Raw genomic sequence first — 16,860 nt, 5'->3', positions numbered from 1 at the left:
GATTGACAGGATGAGAAGAGGCTGCGCAGATGGACAGACCTTGGGAAGCCAGGTCAACAAGGCAAACTGAACATACAAGAACTCTGGGAAACACAATTTAGGAAGAATCCAGATGTTCCCAAGCCAATGAAACTGGAAACTGTTCCTGTAGCTAATGTAGGGCCTGCGAAGAGGCTTTGCCATCTCTGTCATCCGGTATAGGCTTGCAAGAGGAAGAAGGGAAGAGGGGAGAGAGCACAAAAGCAACTCCTCAGGTAGTCCTGTCTGGGTTTGCAAACACCTGATGCTGTGACACCCACAGCACTCACTGGGAGGGAATGGTGGCCAGGCAGCTCACACTGGGATTTGGAAGCTAGGTTAGCCGGTAGTGCCAGGCGGCCACAAAGTGCAACAATACATTTGTTTGTTTGTTTTTGAGACAGAGTTTCACTCTTATTGCCCAGGCTGGAGTGCAATGGCGCGATCTCGGCTCACCGCAACCTCCGCCTCCCAGGTTCAAGCGATTCTCCTGCCTCAGCCTCCTGAGTAGCTGGGATTACAGGCGCGCTCCACCATGCCCGGCTAATTTTATATTTTTAGTAGAGATGGGGTTTCTCCACGTTGGTCAGGCTGGTCTTGAACTCCTGACCTCAGGTGATCCACCCACCTCAGCCTCCCAAAGGGCTGGGATTACAGGCATGAGCCACCACACCCGGCCACAATGATACATTTTAAAGATCAGAGACCAACCACAGTTTCGAGGTCTATGGTCCACTAGGAGGGGACCTGTGACACTGCCTTGCTGTCCATCCAATGTAAAGAGGAAAACACTGGCTGCAAACCCCAGAAGCCAGCTCCACGCCAGCTCTGTTCCACGTCTGCTTCTGGTGAGTGCTCTCGGGATGCCCTCACAGCTGGCCTATGCTCTGAGCATGGGGACAGACACTGGGCCTTGCGTCCCTCAAGGAGCTCCCTGGGGGTTGGGAAGGAACGGGCCAGAGCACGGCAAGTTGACAGGCCAGACGGGAGCAGCACAGGGCACTCAGCTGAGTGGGTGGCAGGCAGGGCGGAGGGTGGGAGGGGAGGAAGCAGCGGCCATGGGCTAGTCTAGAAAGGTAAGAGGCACAGGAGAGACGGCGAGTGGCCAGCACCTGCATCTGGGAGTGGGCAGACCGCATTCCCACCAGAGACATCAGATTCCCTGACCAGCTATTTGTTTTTTTTTTTTGAGATGGATTCTCACTTTTGTTGCCCAGGCTGGAGTGCAGTGGTGCAATCTCGGCTTACTGCAACCTCTGCCTCCCGGGTTCAAGCGATGCTGCTGTCTCAGCCTCCCGAGTAGCTGGGATTACAGGTGCCCACCATGCCTGGCTAATTTTTGTATTTTTAGTAGAGACGGGGCTTCACTATGTTGGCCAGGCTGGTCTCGAACTCCTGACCTCAGGTGATCTGCTCACCTCAGTCTCCCAAAGTGCTGAGATTACAGGCGTGAGCCACCGCACCCGGCCTATTTTCTTAATAGTACTAGACTCTACAAATTTCTGGTGCAGACCAGGCTGTGCTGAGGTCGTGAGCCCCATCTCCTTGGTCATGGTGCTTATGTCAGGCATGGGTACTCGGGAGCAGGGTCAATCTCGGGTGATCCTGGCAGCTATGCACAAAGAAGAGGGAGTTTGTTCCTCTGATAGATGGCCTTGCTGAGTGCTGTTTTGCCCCTGCAGGGTCCAGACCCACCTGTGAGGCAGACAGGATAGCAGAGGTAGGAGACAGAGACCGATTCCTGATGGCTTCTTTTGCTTAAGCCACTTTGAGTTGGATTTCTGTTACTTGCAACCATGCGCCCTGACTCGAGGAGAAAAGCTACCCACTATGTTGAAAATGCAGAATCATCACACAAATGGGCAAGTTCCACAGTCCGCAGTGTGATCCACCCCAAGGCCCAGGCGTCCACAGCAACCTATCTAGACTGGGACACCAAGGAGGAGAGCTGTCAAGTCAGAGGGGAGCAGAACTACCAGGGTCTGCACCCCATCAGCACCTGCAGCAGAGACAGACAGACTCTGGCGGATGCAGTGGCCAGTTCCCCGAAAGGAAGGGGGCTGTGCTGTGCAAGGCGGGTGAGTGCACCTCTACTGTGCCAGGCTTCCGTTCCCAAACCAGCCCTGCTCCCTCTGGCCTGACTGTAGGCTGACCAAGCGATCCTCTCATTGCCCATCTGTTCCCTCAGGCCCTGGATATGAAGCTAAGGAATAGGAGTGTCCTGGTCACTAGGAATGAACGTGCTTCCTGAATTAACTAAGAGCTCGCTGACACCCCATGTGGGTAGCAGAGATCAGTGCTGGGCCCCTCTGAGGCCGGGCTTCCTGAGAGCTCATCCGTGAACGGCGGACTGAGCTCCTAAATGGCCCACCCTCCGTTCGCCAAAAGGAGGTAGGTTTGGGGCCTGAGGGATGTGGTGGGTAGCCTGGTGTGCCTGCAGTGGCAGACAAGGGGAGTGGGGTTCTTACTGGCTGAGGTGCAGGCCCATTTCCTGGAGGGCTTGTTCCTGCTCCTCGCAGATCTTCTGCAGCTCTGCCTTCTCGTCCTGAAGCTCCCGCAACTCCTAAAATGAACAAACCAACCAGATGCTGGACAGAGGATTACACGGTCCTTTTTTTTTTTTTTTTTTTTTTTTTTGAGACAGGGTCTTGCTCTGTTGCCAGGCTGGAGTGCAGTGGCACGATCTTGGCTCACTGCAACCTCCGCCTCCTGGGTTCAAGCGATTCTCCTGCCTCAGCCTCCCAAGTAGCTGGGACTACAGGTGCCCGCCACCATGCCCTGCTAATTTTTGTATTTTCAGTAGAGACGGGGTTTCACCATGTTGGCCAGGATGGTCTCAAACTCCTGACCTCGTGATCTGCCCGCCTCGGCCTCCCAAAGTGCTGGGATTACAGGCGTGAGCCACTGCACTGGCCTTTAAAAAAAAAAAAAAGATTCAGCAACCAGAGCAACAAGCAGATCAGAATGTTTTTCAAGAGCAAAAGGTGGCCAGGCACAGTGGCTTATGCCTATACTTCCAGCACTTTGGGAGGCCAAGACAGGTGGATCACCTGAGGTCAGGAGTTTGAGGCCAACCCGGCCAACATGGTGCAACCCTGTCTCCACTAAAAATACAGAAATTAGCTGGGTGTGGTGGCAGGCACCTGTAATCCCAGCTACTTGGGAGGCTGAGGCAAGAGAACTGCTTGAACCCGGGAGGCGGAGGTTGCAGTGAGCCGAGATGGTGCTACTGTACTCCAGCCTGGGCGACAGAGCAAGACTCCATCTCAAACAAAACAAAACCAAAAAAAAGAGCAAAATGCAGTCCTGTATTAATGTCATTCAAGATTATTTCTTGCTAGCTTACTCTTGACACTGGGCAGCTAAAAGGCAAGCACTCGACGAGGGCTCTGCAGCTGGGGACAGAGACATGGGACAGGATAGTTACATTCATCAGCCACATTAAAAATAGTTACCCTCAGCTGGGCGCAGTGGCTCACACCTGTAATCCCAGCACTGGGAGGCTGAGGTGGGCGGATCACCTGAGGTCAGGCATTCAAGACCAGCCTGGCCAACATGGCAAAACCCCTCCTTTAGTTAAAAATACAAAAATTAGCAGGGCATGGTGGCACATGCCTGCAATCCCAACTACTCGGGAGGCTGAGGCAGGAGAATCGCTTGAACTGGGGAGGCGGAGGTTGCAGTGAGCCGAGATCACACCACTGCACTCCAGCCTGGGCAACAGAGCAAGACTCCGTCTCAAAAAAAAAAAAAAAAAAAAAAAAAAAAAAGTTACCATCATAGGACAAATGAGGCTTTGCCTATTTGAGCTTCTTTTTAAAAGATAAACATTTTACAAAACAGATTGCTATCTCAAAAAATCTATAGAAGAACTGTACACAAAATCACACGAACCTTGCATCAGCAAAGACTAGTTTGAAAGGTGGTTTCCTGTTCAATTCTGAAAAAGCTGCTTTTTTGGAAAGCACTGGTCAAGGATGATGAAGGGGGTGACCTGGGACCTCATTTCATGGCTAGACCACTTGGAGGCTGGCTAGACCATGTGAGGAGCCCTGCACGGAGGGAGTTCCCCAGGGGGCAACGGCACTGACACCTGGGGCCAGTGCACCTTGAGCCAGTCTGTTAAGGCCAGGATGGAGACCCAGAAAGTAACTGGGGTTTCTGGGACCACTGGGAGCAGCGGTGGAGCTCGGGCCCGAGTGGCGGGGTGGCTCTCTGCACACCCTGTGCCGTAGCTTCTGCTTCCATGCACAGGCTTGCAAAGCACAAAGCTGTGGCTTAACTGGGGTTATTAGACATTGTTTTGTTCCTATTGTTGGGGCGGGCTGTAATTGTGTAATTCGAATCTTTTGACAGAAGCATTCTGAAGCAGAATAAAGGAGGTATGCCCCGTGATGAGGCGGGACTTTCTGAAAGTCCTCTTCTGCCCTCCACTTCCTCCCTTCCACTCTCCAAGCCTGATCTGGCTCTTGAGGAAGCTCTCCCTTCCCCAACAACTCCAGGCACTTTCCAATGGAAATCAAAAGGGCCTTTCCTGACTCGCTCGAATCGTGCAGTGTGTCCATTACCACGTTCAACACAACAAAATCCAGGTCCAGAAGCCACCCTGGCCCTGAAGGCCCCTCCGGGGCAGGTGCCGAGGGGAGGTCTGCTTTGGGCTCAGTTTTCCTGCAGCGCTCGGCAGCGCAGGGGCCTGAGAAGAGGGCACGCCATCCCCACGTGGGAGGAGCCCCCCAGAGCGCCCCAGGCTGCAGTCAGCTCCATCCAGGATCGCAGAGCCTCCTCCCCTCTGGGAAAACAGCCGATGATTTTACATTAGGGCAAATGTTCCACACGGCCTCGGAGTTTCCTGGGAGGTCCAGTTCCACAGCCAGACAGTGAAGGCCTGCTGGACCCCACTTCTCTCGCCCTCTGAAGCCCACAGCATCCAGGCCATGCCTCCAAGTGAGAGGGTCCTCCATGGAACTGAGGTGATGTAGGGGAAGTGGAGGGCTGGGGTCGGTCTGCTTCCCAGGGATGACCCGACCCTGGGCACAGTGGCTGAGGTGAGGCTGGCATGTGGTAGGAGATGTTTACTGGTTCCTCCCAGCTTCCTCTCCTGCGAGCCTACCACCCACTCTCCACACAGGAGCCAATGACCATCCGCAAACAGAACGGATCCTGTCCCTCCACCAGCTGCCCACTCTGGTAAAATAAAACCCACGTTCCTTCCCCTGGCTCCCAGGGCCCATGAAGGGCTTCCTCCTGCCTGCCGCCTGAGGCCGCCTCTTTGCTCCTCACACTGCTGTCTGCTCCTGCAGTCTCCACCCAAGAGGTGCTTTGCAGGGCATAACTCACTGGAGCCTCTGCTCACCGGTCGCTCCCTCCCCAGGCCCCTTGCACACGGGTGAGGACACTGTTCTGCTTTATTCTCTTCATGGCACTTGCCTCTATCTGAGCTGCCAGCAGGCTTAGTGGTTTATGATTTGTCTTTGTCTTATGCTCCTAAAACAGGAGCTCCCTAACAGCCTCCCCACACCCTGGAGCCGCCTGGCCCCCACACAAAGGGTGCGGGGAGAGGAGCCTGCCCGGAGCATGTTAGGGGTTTCTGGAGGCTGCCAGAGGCTCTCCTCTCCCGGGATGGCCCACCTCACCTTTTTCAGTCCTTCCACTTGTTGCAGCTCCATCCTGAGTAGAGAGGAAGTGTCTTTCTCGTGCTGTAATTCGCGCTGAAGAGCCTGTCTTTGCTCTTTTTCTGATTTCAATTCTTTCTCCAGGCTTGAGCTGTTTTCCCAAAATGAACTTGAGTTAGTCTCAGTGGGAGACTTTCACGGAAGATTCACAACCCAATTCACCGCCCAGGAAACAGGGAAGTCTCTGAATTGCCTCTTGAGCATCTAAAGCCTTCGGCAACGCTTCCCTCTCCTCCAGGGTCACCTGCCCTTCCACAAGAAAGAGCAGGAACCAGGGAGAGAAAAGCCTGCAGGCACACACTTGACACTTACGCAGGGGAGAAGGAAGAGAGCTCTAGAACACTTAGACCACATAAGCAGAACCCTCCCGACATGGAGACCTGAGGAAAGGAAGCTCAAAATTCGTTCTTTTCTTTTTTTGAGACAGGGTCTAGCTCTGTCACCCCAGCTGGAGTGCAGTGGCGCAACCTCAGCTCACTGCAGCCTCGACCTCCTGGGCTCAAGTGATCCTCCCGCCACAGCTTCCCAAGGTGCAGAGATTACAGGCATGAGCCACCTCACTGGCCAATTCATTCTGCTTTTTGTTTTTTTTTGAGACGGAGTCTCGCTCTGTCGCCCAGGCTGGAGTGCAGTGGCACAATCTTGGCTCACTGCAACCTCTGCCTCCTGGGTTCAAGCTAGTCTCCTGCCTCAGCCTCCCTAGTAGCTGGGATTACAGGCACACGCCACCACGCCCAGCTAATTTTTTGTATTTTTAGTAGAGATGACGTTTCACCATGTTGGCCAGGCTGGTCTTGAACTCCTGACCTCGTGATCTCCCTGCCTCGGCCTCCCAAAAGTGCTGGGATTATGGGCGTGAGCCACCGCGCCCGGCCTCATTCTGCTTTCTACAACCTACAGCCAGACTGACAATGAAGGATCCTGGAGGGAGAAGGCCAGGAGGGAGCCTCAGCCTGAAGCTGACTCTGCCCTTTACCAGCTGAGTGGCCCTGGGGGCACTGCTGGACCGCCTGGAGTCTGCTCTCTCTTTGTGGGAATAAAGATGTCTCTTCTCTCTTCTCTCAACATCAGGCTTTTAACTTGGCATATATATTATCTCAAAAAATCTATAGGCCAGGCACGGTGGTTCACACTTGTAATCCTAGCATTCTGGGAGGCCGAGACGGGTGGATCACTTGAGGCCAGAAGATTGAGACCAGCCTGGCCAACATGGCAAAACCCTGTCTCTAATAAAAATACAAAAATTAGGCTGGGCGCAGTGGCTCACGCCTGTAATCCCAGCACTTTGGGAGGCCGAGATGGGAGGATCACGAGGTGAGGAGATCGAGACCATCCTGGGTTAACACAGTGAAACCCCGTCTCTACTAAAAATACAAAAAATTAGCCAGGTGTGGTGGCTGATGCCTGTAGTCCCAGCTGCTCGGGAGGCTGAGGCAGGAGAATGGCGTGAACCCGGGAGGCAGAGGTTGCAGTGAGCCGAGATCGCGCCACCGCACTCCAGCCTGGGCAAGAGAGTGAGACTCGGTCTCAAAAAAAAAACAAAACAAAACACAAACACAAAAATTAGCCGGGTGTGTTGATGTACACCTGTAGTCCCAGCTACTCAGGAGGCTGAGGCACAAGAATCGCTTGAGCCCAGGAGGTGGGGGTTGCAGTGAGCTGAGACTGCACCACTGCACTCCAGCCTGGATGACAGAGTGAGACTTAAAAAATAAAAAATCTGTAGATGAACTGTGCACAAAATTATATGAAGCTTGCATCAGCAAAGGCTAGGTGAAAGGTGACTTTCTGTTCAACACTGACAAAGCTGTTTCTTTTTAGAAAGGGTGGTTAAGGGTGATACAGGCTGTGACCTGGTACCATGGTTTGAGAGTGGCCAGATCTTCTGGAGGCGAGCTGGACCACGTGAGGAGCCCTGTGGGGAGGGAGCTCCCTAGGGATAACATACGAACCCTGCAGGGGTGAGTGGTGAAGCAGGATACCACCTGCCCCCCCGCCCCCCCTCCTCCCGTTCGTGCTGAAGCAGGATACCACCTGTCCCCAGTTCTTCCCAGTCCCTCCTGAGCCACACCCCAGCCCAGGCTCCCTGCAGGGCCCCTACCATTGCTCGTGCAGCTGGGAGAGCTGCAGCTGCAGGGCGCCGATCCTCCCGCCCAGCTCCTGCTGCAGCTTGTGGCTCCGCTCCTCAGCCCCCTGCCTCGCCCGCTCCGAGTGCTGCAACCTGGATGCGACACCAGCAAGAGTGCAAATGAAGCAAATCTTTGTAAGGAAAGGATGACTTTTGCTGGCTGAAATTCATTTTTAAAATTACCATACAGTAAAATTAACTCTTGTGAGTTTTAACACGTGGAGATTCAGCTCCACCACAATCAGAATACAGGACGGTCCCACCACTCCCAAAACTCCCCACCTCAGCCCCTGGCAACCACTCATCTGTCCTGCAACAATATGGCTTTGGCTTTTTGAGAATGTAATCTCAATGTAATTATACATTATATAACCTTGAGACTGACTTTTTCTCAGAATAATGTCTTGGAGATCAATCCAAGTTTCCATGTGTATCAATGGTTCATGCCTTTTGTTTCCTCTCTGAACGTCCTGAAAGGGCAGTGGTTCATTCCTTTCTACGGCTGAGTCATACTTCACCGCACAGACGTACCACTTTGTTTATCCATCACCCAATGCAGAACATTGGGATTGCTTCTAGCTTTTGGCAGTTATGAACGGAGCTGCTATAAACATATGTACTAGTTTTGGTGTAGACATAAGTTTCATTTCTATTTGGATCATATGGTAAGAGGACGTTTAGCTTCTTGAGAAACTGTTTTCCTGAGTGGTTGCACCATTTTGCATTCCTACCAATAAAGTATGAGAGATCCATTAGCTCCGTGTCCTCATCAGCACTTGGTATTGTCATTAAAGAAACGGTAGCTGGCCAGGTGTGGTGGCTCATGCCTATAATCCCAGCACTTTGGGAGGCCTAGGTGGGCAGATCACCTGAGGTCGGGAGTTCGAGACCAGCCTGATCAATATGGAGAAACCCCATCTCTACAAAAATACAAAATTAGCCGGGCATGGTGGCAGGCACCTGTAATCCCAGCTACTTGGGAGGCTGAGGCAGGAGAATTGCTTGAACCTGGGAGGTAGAGATTGCGGTGAGCTGAGATCGCACCATTGCACTCTAGCCTGGGCAATGAGAGCGAAACTCTGGCTCAAAAAAAAAAAAAAACAAGAACAAACAAACAAAAAACCAAAAAGAAACCGTAGCTGCCCTAACAGATGTGTGGTGGGATTGTGCCACTCACTTCTCTAGTGGCTCATGATCTGAATATCATCTCATGTACTTTTTTGCTGTCCATATGTTGTCTTTGATGAAGTATCTGTTTCAAGTCTTTTGCCCCCTCCTTTTTTTGTTTTGTTTTGAGATGAAGTTTCTTTCTTGTTGCCCACTAATTTTTTGTATTTTTAGTAGAGACGGGGTTTCACCGTTTTAGCCGGGATGGTCTCGATCTCCTGACCTCGTGATCCGCCCGCCTCGGCCTCCCAAAGTGCTGGGATTACAGGCGTGAGCCACCGCGCCCGTCCTAATTTTTAGTATTTTTAGTAAAGACAGGGTTTCACCATGTTGGCCAGCCTGTTCTTGAACTTCTGACCTTAAGTGATCCTCCCGCGTCGGCCTCCCAAAGTGTTGGGATTACAGGCGTGAGCCACCGCGCCCAGCCTCTCCCCTGCACTTTGGAGAGGGACTCTGAATAAGTCTCCAGGCCCAGGGAATGCTCAGAGCCTTCCCGAGAATATCTGCCAGGGGGAAGTGATTACCTTTCTTCCATTTGTTTCATGCTGGACATAACTTGGTTGGTTTTTCCTTCAAAGGATGTGATGGCTTCATTCTTCTGCTGCAAACTGCTCTCTGCATTCTACAAAAGCAAAGGAAGGGTTCATACTCTGCCTGTCCCACATCCTTGCACCTGCTCTGGATTACAAACAGGGCTTATTTGCTTTTTTTTTTTTTTTTTTTTTTTGAGACAGAGTCTTGCTCTGTCACCCAGGCTAGAGTGCAGTGGCGTGATCTTGGCTCACTGCCAGCTCCGCCTCCCGGGTTCACGCCATTCTCCTGCCTCAGCCTCCCAAGTAGCTGGGACTACAGGCGCCCGCCACCACATCTGGCTAATTTTTTGTATTTTTAGTAGAGACGGGGTTTCACTATGTTGACCAGGCTGGTCTCGAACACCTGACGTCGTGATCCGCCTGCCTTGGCCTCCCAGAGTGCTGGGATTACAGGTGTGAGCCACCACGCCCGGACTAGATGCTGTTTTTCAAAATCTGGCATGATTGGTTCTGTCTGGGACAGTTCCCTTGGACCACCCTGAAATGACACAGGAGAGGCAACCAGCTACCTATGTGGCCCGGAAGACTCAGAAAGATTAACTTAGCGGCAAAGTTTGAAAAGACAATACTAAATGACTTTTTTTTTTTTTCCCCCGAGTTGGAGTTGCGCTCTGTTGCCCAGGCTGGAGTGCAACGGAATGATTTCGGCTCACTGCAACCTGTCTCCCGGGTTCAAGCAATTCTCCTGCCTCAGCCTTCTGAGTATCTGGGATTAGAGGCGTGCACCTCCATGCCCAGCTAATTTTTGTATTTTTAGTAGAGACGGTGTTTCACCATGCTGGCCAGGCTAGTCTCAAACTCCTGACCTCGTGATCTGCCCGCTCGGCCTCCCAAAGTGCTGGGATTACAAGCGTGAGCCACCGTGCCTGGCTCTAAATGACGTCTTTAATTCTCTCCTCCATGCTTGCTATAAACAATAAATCGTTGAAATAGAAGAAAACAGACAGTGGAGGGACAGTGAAGGTGGATGGACAAAGTTTGGGTTTGGGTTAAAAAGACCCACGTCTCCCCTTAGAAGCTACGTCACCAGGGGCATGTGACTTAGTGACTTGGCTCTGCCTTGTCACTTACATTTCCCCCCATTTCTCAGGGACTGCCATGAGGATCAAAATCATAATAGGTCCTAGGAGCAGGTCTGACACATACGAGGGGCTCTATGTGTCTACTCGCTCATTTTGTAAGAAGAATGACACAAGACTGGCGAGCAGCAGAAACCAGGCTGTGCCATGGACACAAAGCCAACTCCCACCTGAGCTTTGTGAAACATCTGTAAATTAATCGCTTTGACTTCTTCCAGCTGCTGGCGGAGGGCAACTAGTGTGTCCTGCTTCTCGTGGGTGTCCTTTTCCAGTAACTTCATTGCAATTTCCATTTCGGTTTTCATTCCAATTTGTAACTCCAGTTCTTTTTCCAGTTCCTTAAAAGGATATTTACAAGGAAAATGTTATTAAAATAGATCACAGAAATGTATTTAACTGGGGTTGAATCTCAGGTAATGCTTAAAATACAAACTGAAGGCTGGGTGTGGTGGCTCATGCCTGTAATCCTCAGCACTTTGGGAGGCTGAGGTGGGCGGATCACTTGAGGCCAGGAGTTCGAGAGCAGCCTGGCCAAGATGGCGAAACCCCATCTCTACTAAAAATACAAAAATTAGCTGGGTGTGGTGGCATGCGCCTGTAATCCCAGCTACTCTCAGGAGGCTGAGGCAGGAGGATTGCTTGAATCCGGGAGGCGGAGGCTGCAGTGAGCCGAAATCACACCACTCCAGCCTGGGTGACAGGGTGAGACTGTCTTAAAGAAAAAAACAAACCAAAACAAAACAAACAAACTGAAGGTGAGAATAGCTTAGGGAGATTGAAAAGAGTCTGTCTGGGGCAGGAGTAGATGGTGTTTGCCCTTTTCCTCACTGCACGGTTAAAGCTGACTCCACATCAAGTCAACAGAAAGCTGGTCAGTAACAGGATGAGCCTAGGTTCCAGCAACCATGTTTTCCATACCCACAGATCAGAATGCATGTTTTCAAAGAATATCTGTCTCGTTTGAGTGCTGGAAGAGATCTGATAGTGCAATGTTAGAATTTCTGGAATGGTTTGCTAGTTTATAGCAACAAAAGTGCAACCATTTCGAAATGGTTCTGTCCTGACCCAGGACATGTTTCCCTGCATCCATGCAAAGAAGCAAAGAAATAAAGCAGGTACAAGAACAGTGTTTACAAGTAACTCTGGTCACTGATGCACAGGTTGAGTGGAAATAAATAGGCCAGAGGTTATGACGGAGAGAATTGTATTGTCAAAGAAACCGTTAATCTGGTCTCATAGCAATCCCTGTAAAGATTTATAAAATGGCCAGGCGCAGTGGCTCACGCCTGTAATCCCAGCACTTTGGGATGCCGAGGCAGGTGGATCACGAGGTCAGGAGTTCAAGACCAGCCTGCCCAAGATGGTGAAACTCCGTTTCTACTAAAAATACAAAAAACTGGCCGGGCACGGTGGCTCAGGCCTGTAATCCCAGCACTTTGGGAGGCTCAGGCGGGCGGATCACAAAGTCAGGAGATGGAGAACATCTTGGCCAACATGGTGAAACCCCATCTCTACTAAAAATACAAATATTAGCCAGGCATGGTGGCGTATGCCTGTAGTCCCAGCTACTCTGGAGGCTGAGGCAGGAGAATTGCTTGAACCTGGGAGGCAGACGTTGCAGTGAGCCGAGATCACACCACTGCACTCTAGCCTGGGCGACAAGAGTGAAACTCCGTCTCAAAAAAAAAACCAAAAACCAAAAAATTAGCCGGGTGTGGTGGCGGGTGCCTGCAATCCCAGCTACTCGGGAGGCTGAGGCAGAGAACTGCTTGAACCCAGGAGGCAGAGTTTGCAGTGGGCCAAGATCGCGCCATCGCACTCCAGCCTGGACAACAGAGTGAGACTCCGTCTTGAAAAAAAACCCAAACAAACAAAAAATATTTATAAAATGGGAAAAAATATGAGTGACAATGCACAACTGAGTTGTAACCATAGACTTAAAAAAAATTTTTTTAATGAACAGCTTCTGACTTTCTATGACCATCAGGATGGTGAAGCATGTCTATGAAAAGTGTTGACAGAATTAACACTACGGGGAAACTCTTTCTAAAGACACTCGGTCTTGCACACTCACCAACCGGACTTTCTTCTCCTCTTTTAGCTGCTTCCACACATCACTGTACATTTCATCCAGACCTTGCCGAGTTTGCTTGTAAGTCTCCAGCTCAACTTTGGTATCCTGTTTTGTTATCTGTATCAAACAAGGACACCAAGAGGAATTGTTTGCTTATGGAAAGCAAGCTAATTATGAAGTATTTCAAAATATACCACAATTTTAAAAAATGTAAGGTAATTTTTATTTTTTAAGCATGGTAGAAAAAGGTTAAAACTTGGCTGGGCGCATTGGCTCACGCCTGTAATCCCAGCACTTTGGGAGGCCGAGGCGGGCGGATCACGAGGTCAGGCGATCGAGACCATCCTGGCTAACATGGTGAAACCCCGTCTCTACTAAAAACACAAACAATTAGCTGGGCGTGGTGGTGGGCGCCTGTAGTCCCAGCTACTTGGGAGGCTGAGGCAGGAGAATGGCGTGAACCCGGGAGGCAGAGCTTGCAGTGAGCCAAGATCGTGCCATTGCACTCCAGCCTGGGCGACAGGGCAAGACTCCATCCCCCCACCAAAAAAAAACAAAAAAAAGAAGAATGAGAATAAGTCAATAGATATTTGAAAAGTTAAGTTCATAGGCTGGGTGTGGTGGCTCATGCCTGTAATCCCAGCACTTTGGAAGGCCAAGGCGGGAGATCACTTGAGGTCAGGAGTTTGACACCAGCCTGGCCAACATGGTGAAACCCTGTCTCTACTAAAAATACAAAAATTAGTCGGGTGTGGTGGCATGTGCCTATAATTCCAGCTACTTGGGAGGCTGAGGCAGGAAAATCGCTTGAATCCGGGAGGTGGAGGTTGCAGTGAGCTAAGATCACGCCACTACATTCCAGCCTGGGTGACAGCAAGACTCTGTTTCCAAAAAAAAAAAAAGTTACATTGATAAAGCAATTTAAATTTAATTTTCTTTAAAACAGAACAAGACTTGGCCGGGTGCGGTGGCTCATGACTGTAATCCCAGCACTTTGGGAGGCCGAGGCGGGTGGATCACGAGGTCAGGAGATCGAGACCATCTGGCCAACATGGTGAAACCCCGTCTCTACTAAAAATATAGAAAAAAATTAGCTGGGCGTAGTAGCAGGCGCCTGTAGTCCCAGCTACTGGGGAGGCTGAGGCAGGAGAATGGCGTGAACCTGGGAGGCGGAGCTTGCAGTGAGTCGAGATCACGCCACTGCACTCCAGCCTGGGCGACAGAGGGAGACTCTGTCTAGAAACAAACAAACAACAACAACAAAAACAGAACAAGACTCCATTCGCAGGAAAAACCCTCATTCAACTCATCATCCAGTACTTATGAACATGTTTTTAGCACTGAGTGAATTTAGAAGTCAATCAGATATGGTCTCTCTTTTTTTTTTTGAGACGGAGTCTTGCTCTATGGCCCAGGCTGGAGTGCAGTGGCGCGATCTCAGCTCACTGCAAGCTCCATCTCCCGGGTTCACACCATTCTCCTGCCTCAGCCTCCCGAGCAGCTGGGACTACAGGCACCTGCCACCACGCCCAGCTAACTGTTTTGTATTTTTAGTAGAGACGGGGTTTCACTGTGTTAGCCAGGACAGTCTCGATCTCCTGGCCTCGTGATCCGCCCGCCTCGGCCTCCCAAAGTGCTGGGATTACAGGTGTGAGCCACTGTGCCCGGCCCAGATATGGTTTCTATCCTCAAGTCATCATGTGATAGAGCTGCAAGCCAACAATTCTACAAAACAGCAAAGGGACTGTATCATGGAAGGACACAAAGAGCAATGGGAATACAGGAGGATGGCCCAGGCCCGCCCACGGCTCCTGGGATGACATCATGGAGGACATGGCAGGTGAGTGGATGCTGAAGAACGAGTAGGAACTTTGGCATGCAAAGGCCCACAGGCCATGAAGGGAGTCCCCGTCCAAGGGATCCAGGTGGTCTGAGAGTGATGTGGGCAGGGACCGCAGTGAGAGGCCCTTTCTGACATAAGCAAGGCACCTTTGCATTCTGAAGACTGGGTTGTTGTTAAGCCATGAGCTTGAGATTGACAATAGGTGTGTCTGAGTGAGAAACATGCTGCCCAAATGTAGGTCAATTTCTCACCTCTACACTCTTTTCACTTCTTTCTCGAATTAATTCATTTTGTTCTCTTAACTGCTGCTGTTCTTCTTGAAGTGAGCAAATTCGGTCTGTTGCAGCTGAAAGCTGATTAAGGAAAATTTTTACAGTTCTTAACATCAAAATTAATCTTATTGTTCAAATTAAAAACATTAATTTGGCATCTTCACAGTTGACAATGTATGTTCACAGGTTTGATATTTTATTTCCTTGTTTTCAATAGGTAATAATACATGGTTCCAAATTCCAAAGACATGAAAATGTATGTAGTAAAATCTCTCCTCCGCCCTTGCCCCTAGCCATCTCTGCCCTCTCCAGATTTTCTCCCTCTACAAAAATGATAGCATATTGCTGAATGTGGACAAAGATTTATAGACACAAAAAATTAGAAACAGCCTGAATGTTCACTATTAGGGAAATAGTTACATCATAGTGGAAGCATAAAACAAACATGTACTCAATAAAATGTTTACAAAAACTTTTAATCACTTGAGAACATACTTAAGATATAATACTAATAAGGAAAAAAGGTTATATGGTATGCTCTCACCTGTATTAAAAAAAAATCAACTAGGTTAAAAATGCTTAAGAAAAGATGGAGTGGCTGGGTACAGTGGCTCACACCTGTAATTCCAGCACTTTGGGAGGCTGAGGTGGGTGGACTGCTTGAGCCCAGGAGTTCGAGACCAGCCTGGGCAACATGGTGAAACCCCATCTCTACAAAAAACACAAAAATCAGCCAGGAGTGATGTCTCATGCCTGTAATTCCAGCTACTTAGGAGGCTGAGGTGGGAGGATGGCTTGAGCCCAGGAGGCGGAGGTTGCAGTGAGCTGAGATCATGCCACCGCACTCCAGCCTGGGTGACAAAGCCACAGCCTGTCTCAAAAAAGAAAAAAGAAAAGTTGGGAACAATACAAATCAAATAATAAAATGACAAGAATAGTTGTCACTTAGTAAAGGGGTTATGGGCTTTTTTCCTGACTCTTCTTTCTTTCCAGTTTTTCCAGCTAATGATCGGTAAAAGTATATTTAAATCACTAGAGGGAGAATTAAAGAATTTGCAGGGAGGAATAAAAAACAAATCATTGAAGATATGCCCAAGAGGACCTCTTATTCCCCTGGAAGGACTTCTCATGGCTGAGGGAAAAGCATAGAGAAGCAGGACGCTGTCCAGGACCTGCCTAAGGAGAGGCTGTCACAAGAGGCAAGGCAGATGAGTAAACACACCAACCCATCCCTCCTCATTCCAGCCTCATCACACAGCTTGCAGAGAGGAAGGTGCAGCTGGGGAGAAAGAAGCAAGATCTCTGTCCTTGGTGCTTGGCTGGCTCTCGGCATCATTCACTAGTGGAGGGACCTCGAAGCACTGAACTCCTCACTTTCTCTGTCAACAGTGTCTACACCCCCTGAGAATTCCTCTCCACTTAGACTCAGAACCCAGGCCTGGGGTTTCTACACATTAACTGCTGTGCCCAAAAAAAGAAACACCAAGGCTTGAAAGGGCGTGTTACTTGCCCGAAGGGAAGAAGCAGGCAAAAACCATAAGCTAATTCCCATTCCACTCTCTGGAGATGCAGAGAGCACACCCTGAAGAGGGCTACGCTTTTCATTAAGCACATTTCTTTGTTTTTTTAATTGAGACAGGGTGTTACTCTGTCTCACTGCAGCCTCCAACTCCTAGGCTCAAGTGATCCTCTCACCTCAGCCTCCCGAGTAGCTGGGAGTACAGGTGTGTGTCACCACAGCTAACTTTTAAATTTTTTGTAGAGACAGGGTGTTGCCATGTTGCCCAGGCTGGTCTCAAACTCCTGGGCTGAAGCAAGTCTTCCACCTTGGCCTCCCAAAGAGCTGGGATTTACAGGCATGAGCCACCACACCTGCCTGAAGCACATTTTCTATTACAATCATTTGCCTTTAAAGAAAACATAACCTGGCTGGGTGCAGTGGCTCATGCCTGTAATCCCAGCACTTTGGGAGGCCGAGGTGGGCAGATCACAAGGTCAGGAGATTGAGACCATC

At 50.1% G+C, this 16,860-nt stretch overlaps 1 protein-coding gene and 2 long non-coding RNA genes across 19 annotated transcripts in view; 1 reads left to right on the top strand and 2 right to left on the bottom strand.

Moving 5' to 3' along the window:
• LOC128966623 (uncharacterized) overlaps nt 1–16,860 on the bottom strand; it is a 130,785-nt gene that overhangs the window by 48,769 nt on the left and 65,156 nt on the right.
• The window catches only part of RUFY1 (RUN and FYVE domain containing 1), a 59,459-nt gene that overhangs the window by 5,540 nt on the left and 37,059 nt on the right, over nt 1–16,860 (bottom strand). For 15 of the 17 annotated variants that reach the window (XR_245276.4, XR_245277.4, XR_007058642.1 and 12 more), the window contains 7 exons: nt 14,826–14,927; nt 12,732–12,848; nt 10,828–10,995; nt 9,510–9,607; nt 7,792–7,911; nt 5,652–5,781; nt 2,487–2,581 (listed from right to left, as the gene is read on the bottom strand). Coding sequence is in view for 12 of the 17 variants with exons in the window: in NM_025158.5 (NP_079434.3) it covers nt 2,487–2,581; nt 5,652–5,781; nt 7,792–7,911; nt 9,510–9,607; nt 10,828–10,995; nt 12,732–12,848; nt 14,826–14,927 (830 nt within the window). In the remaining 5 variants the exon portion in view is untranslated. Of the gene's footprint in view, nt 1–2,486; nt 2,582–5,651; nt 5,782–7,791; nt 7,912–9,509; nt 9,608–10,827; nt 10,996–12,731; nt 12,849–14,825; nt 14,928–16,860 lie in introns of those variants that run through there. The other 2 variants (XM_047417780.1, XM_047417781.1) reach the window with 1 other exon arrangement.
• RUFY1-AS1 (RUFY1 antisense RNA 1) lies at nt 732–8,569 on the top strand. Its single transcript, NR_110560.1, has 9 exons — nt 732–866; nt 1,701–2,096; nt 2,207–2,409; nt 4,375–4,400; nt 4,838–4,988; nt 5,084–5,205; nt 6,118–6,220; nt 7,512–7,651; nt 7,880–8,569. It is a non-coding gene; the product is annotated as an RUFY1 antisense RNA 1 (long non-coding RNA).

This window comes from Homo sapiens, chromosome 5 (assembly GCF_000001405.40).
Source record: "Homo sapiens chromosome 5, GRCh38.p14 Primary Assembly".
NCBI classification, from domain to species: Eukaryota; Metazoa; Chordata; class Mammalia; order Primates; family Hominidae; genus Homo; species Homo sapiens.
This window is presented reverse-complemented; position numbering and strand designations above follow the sequence as displayed.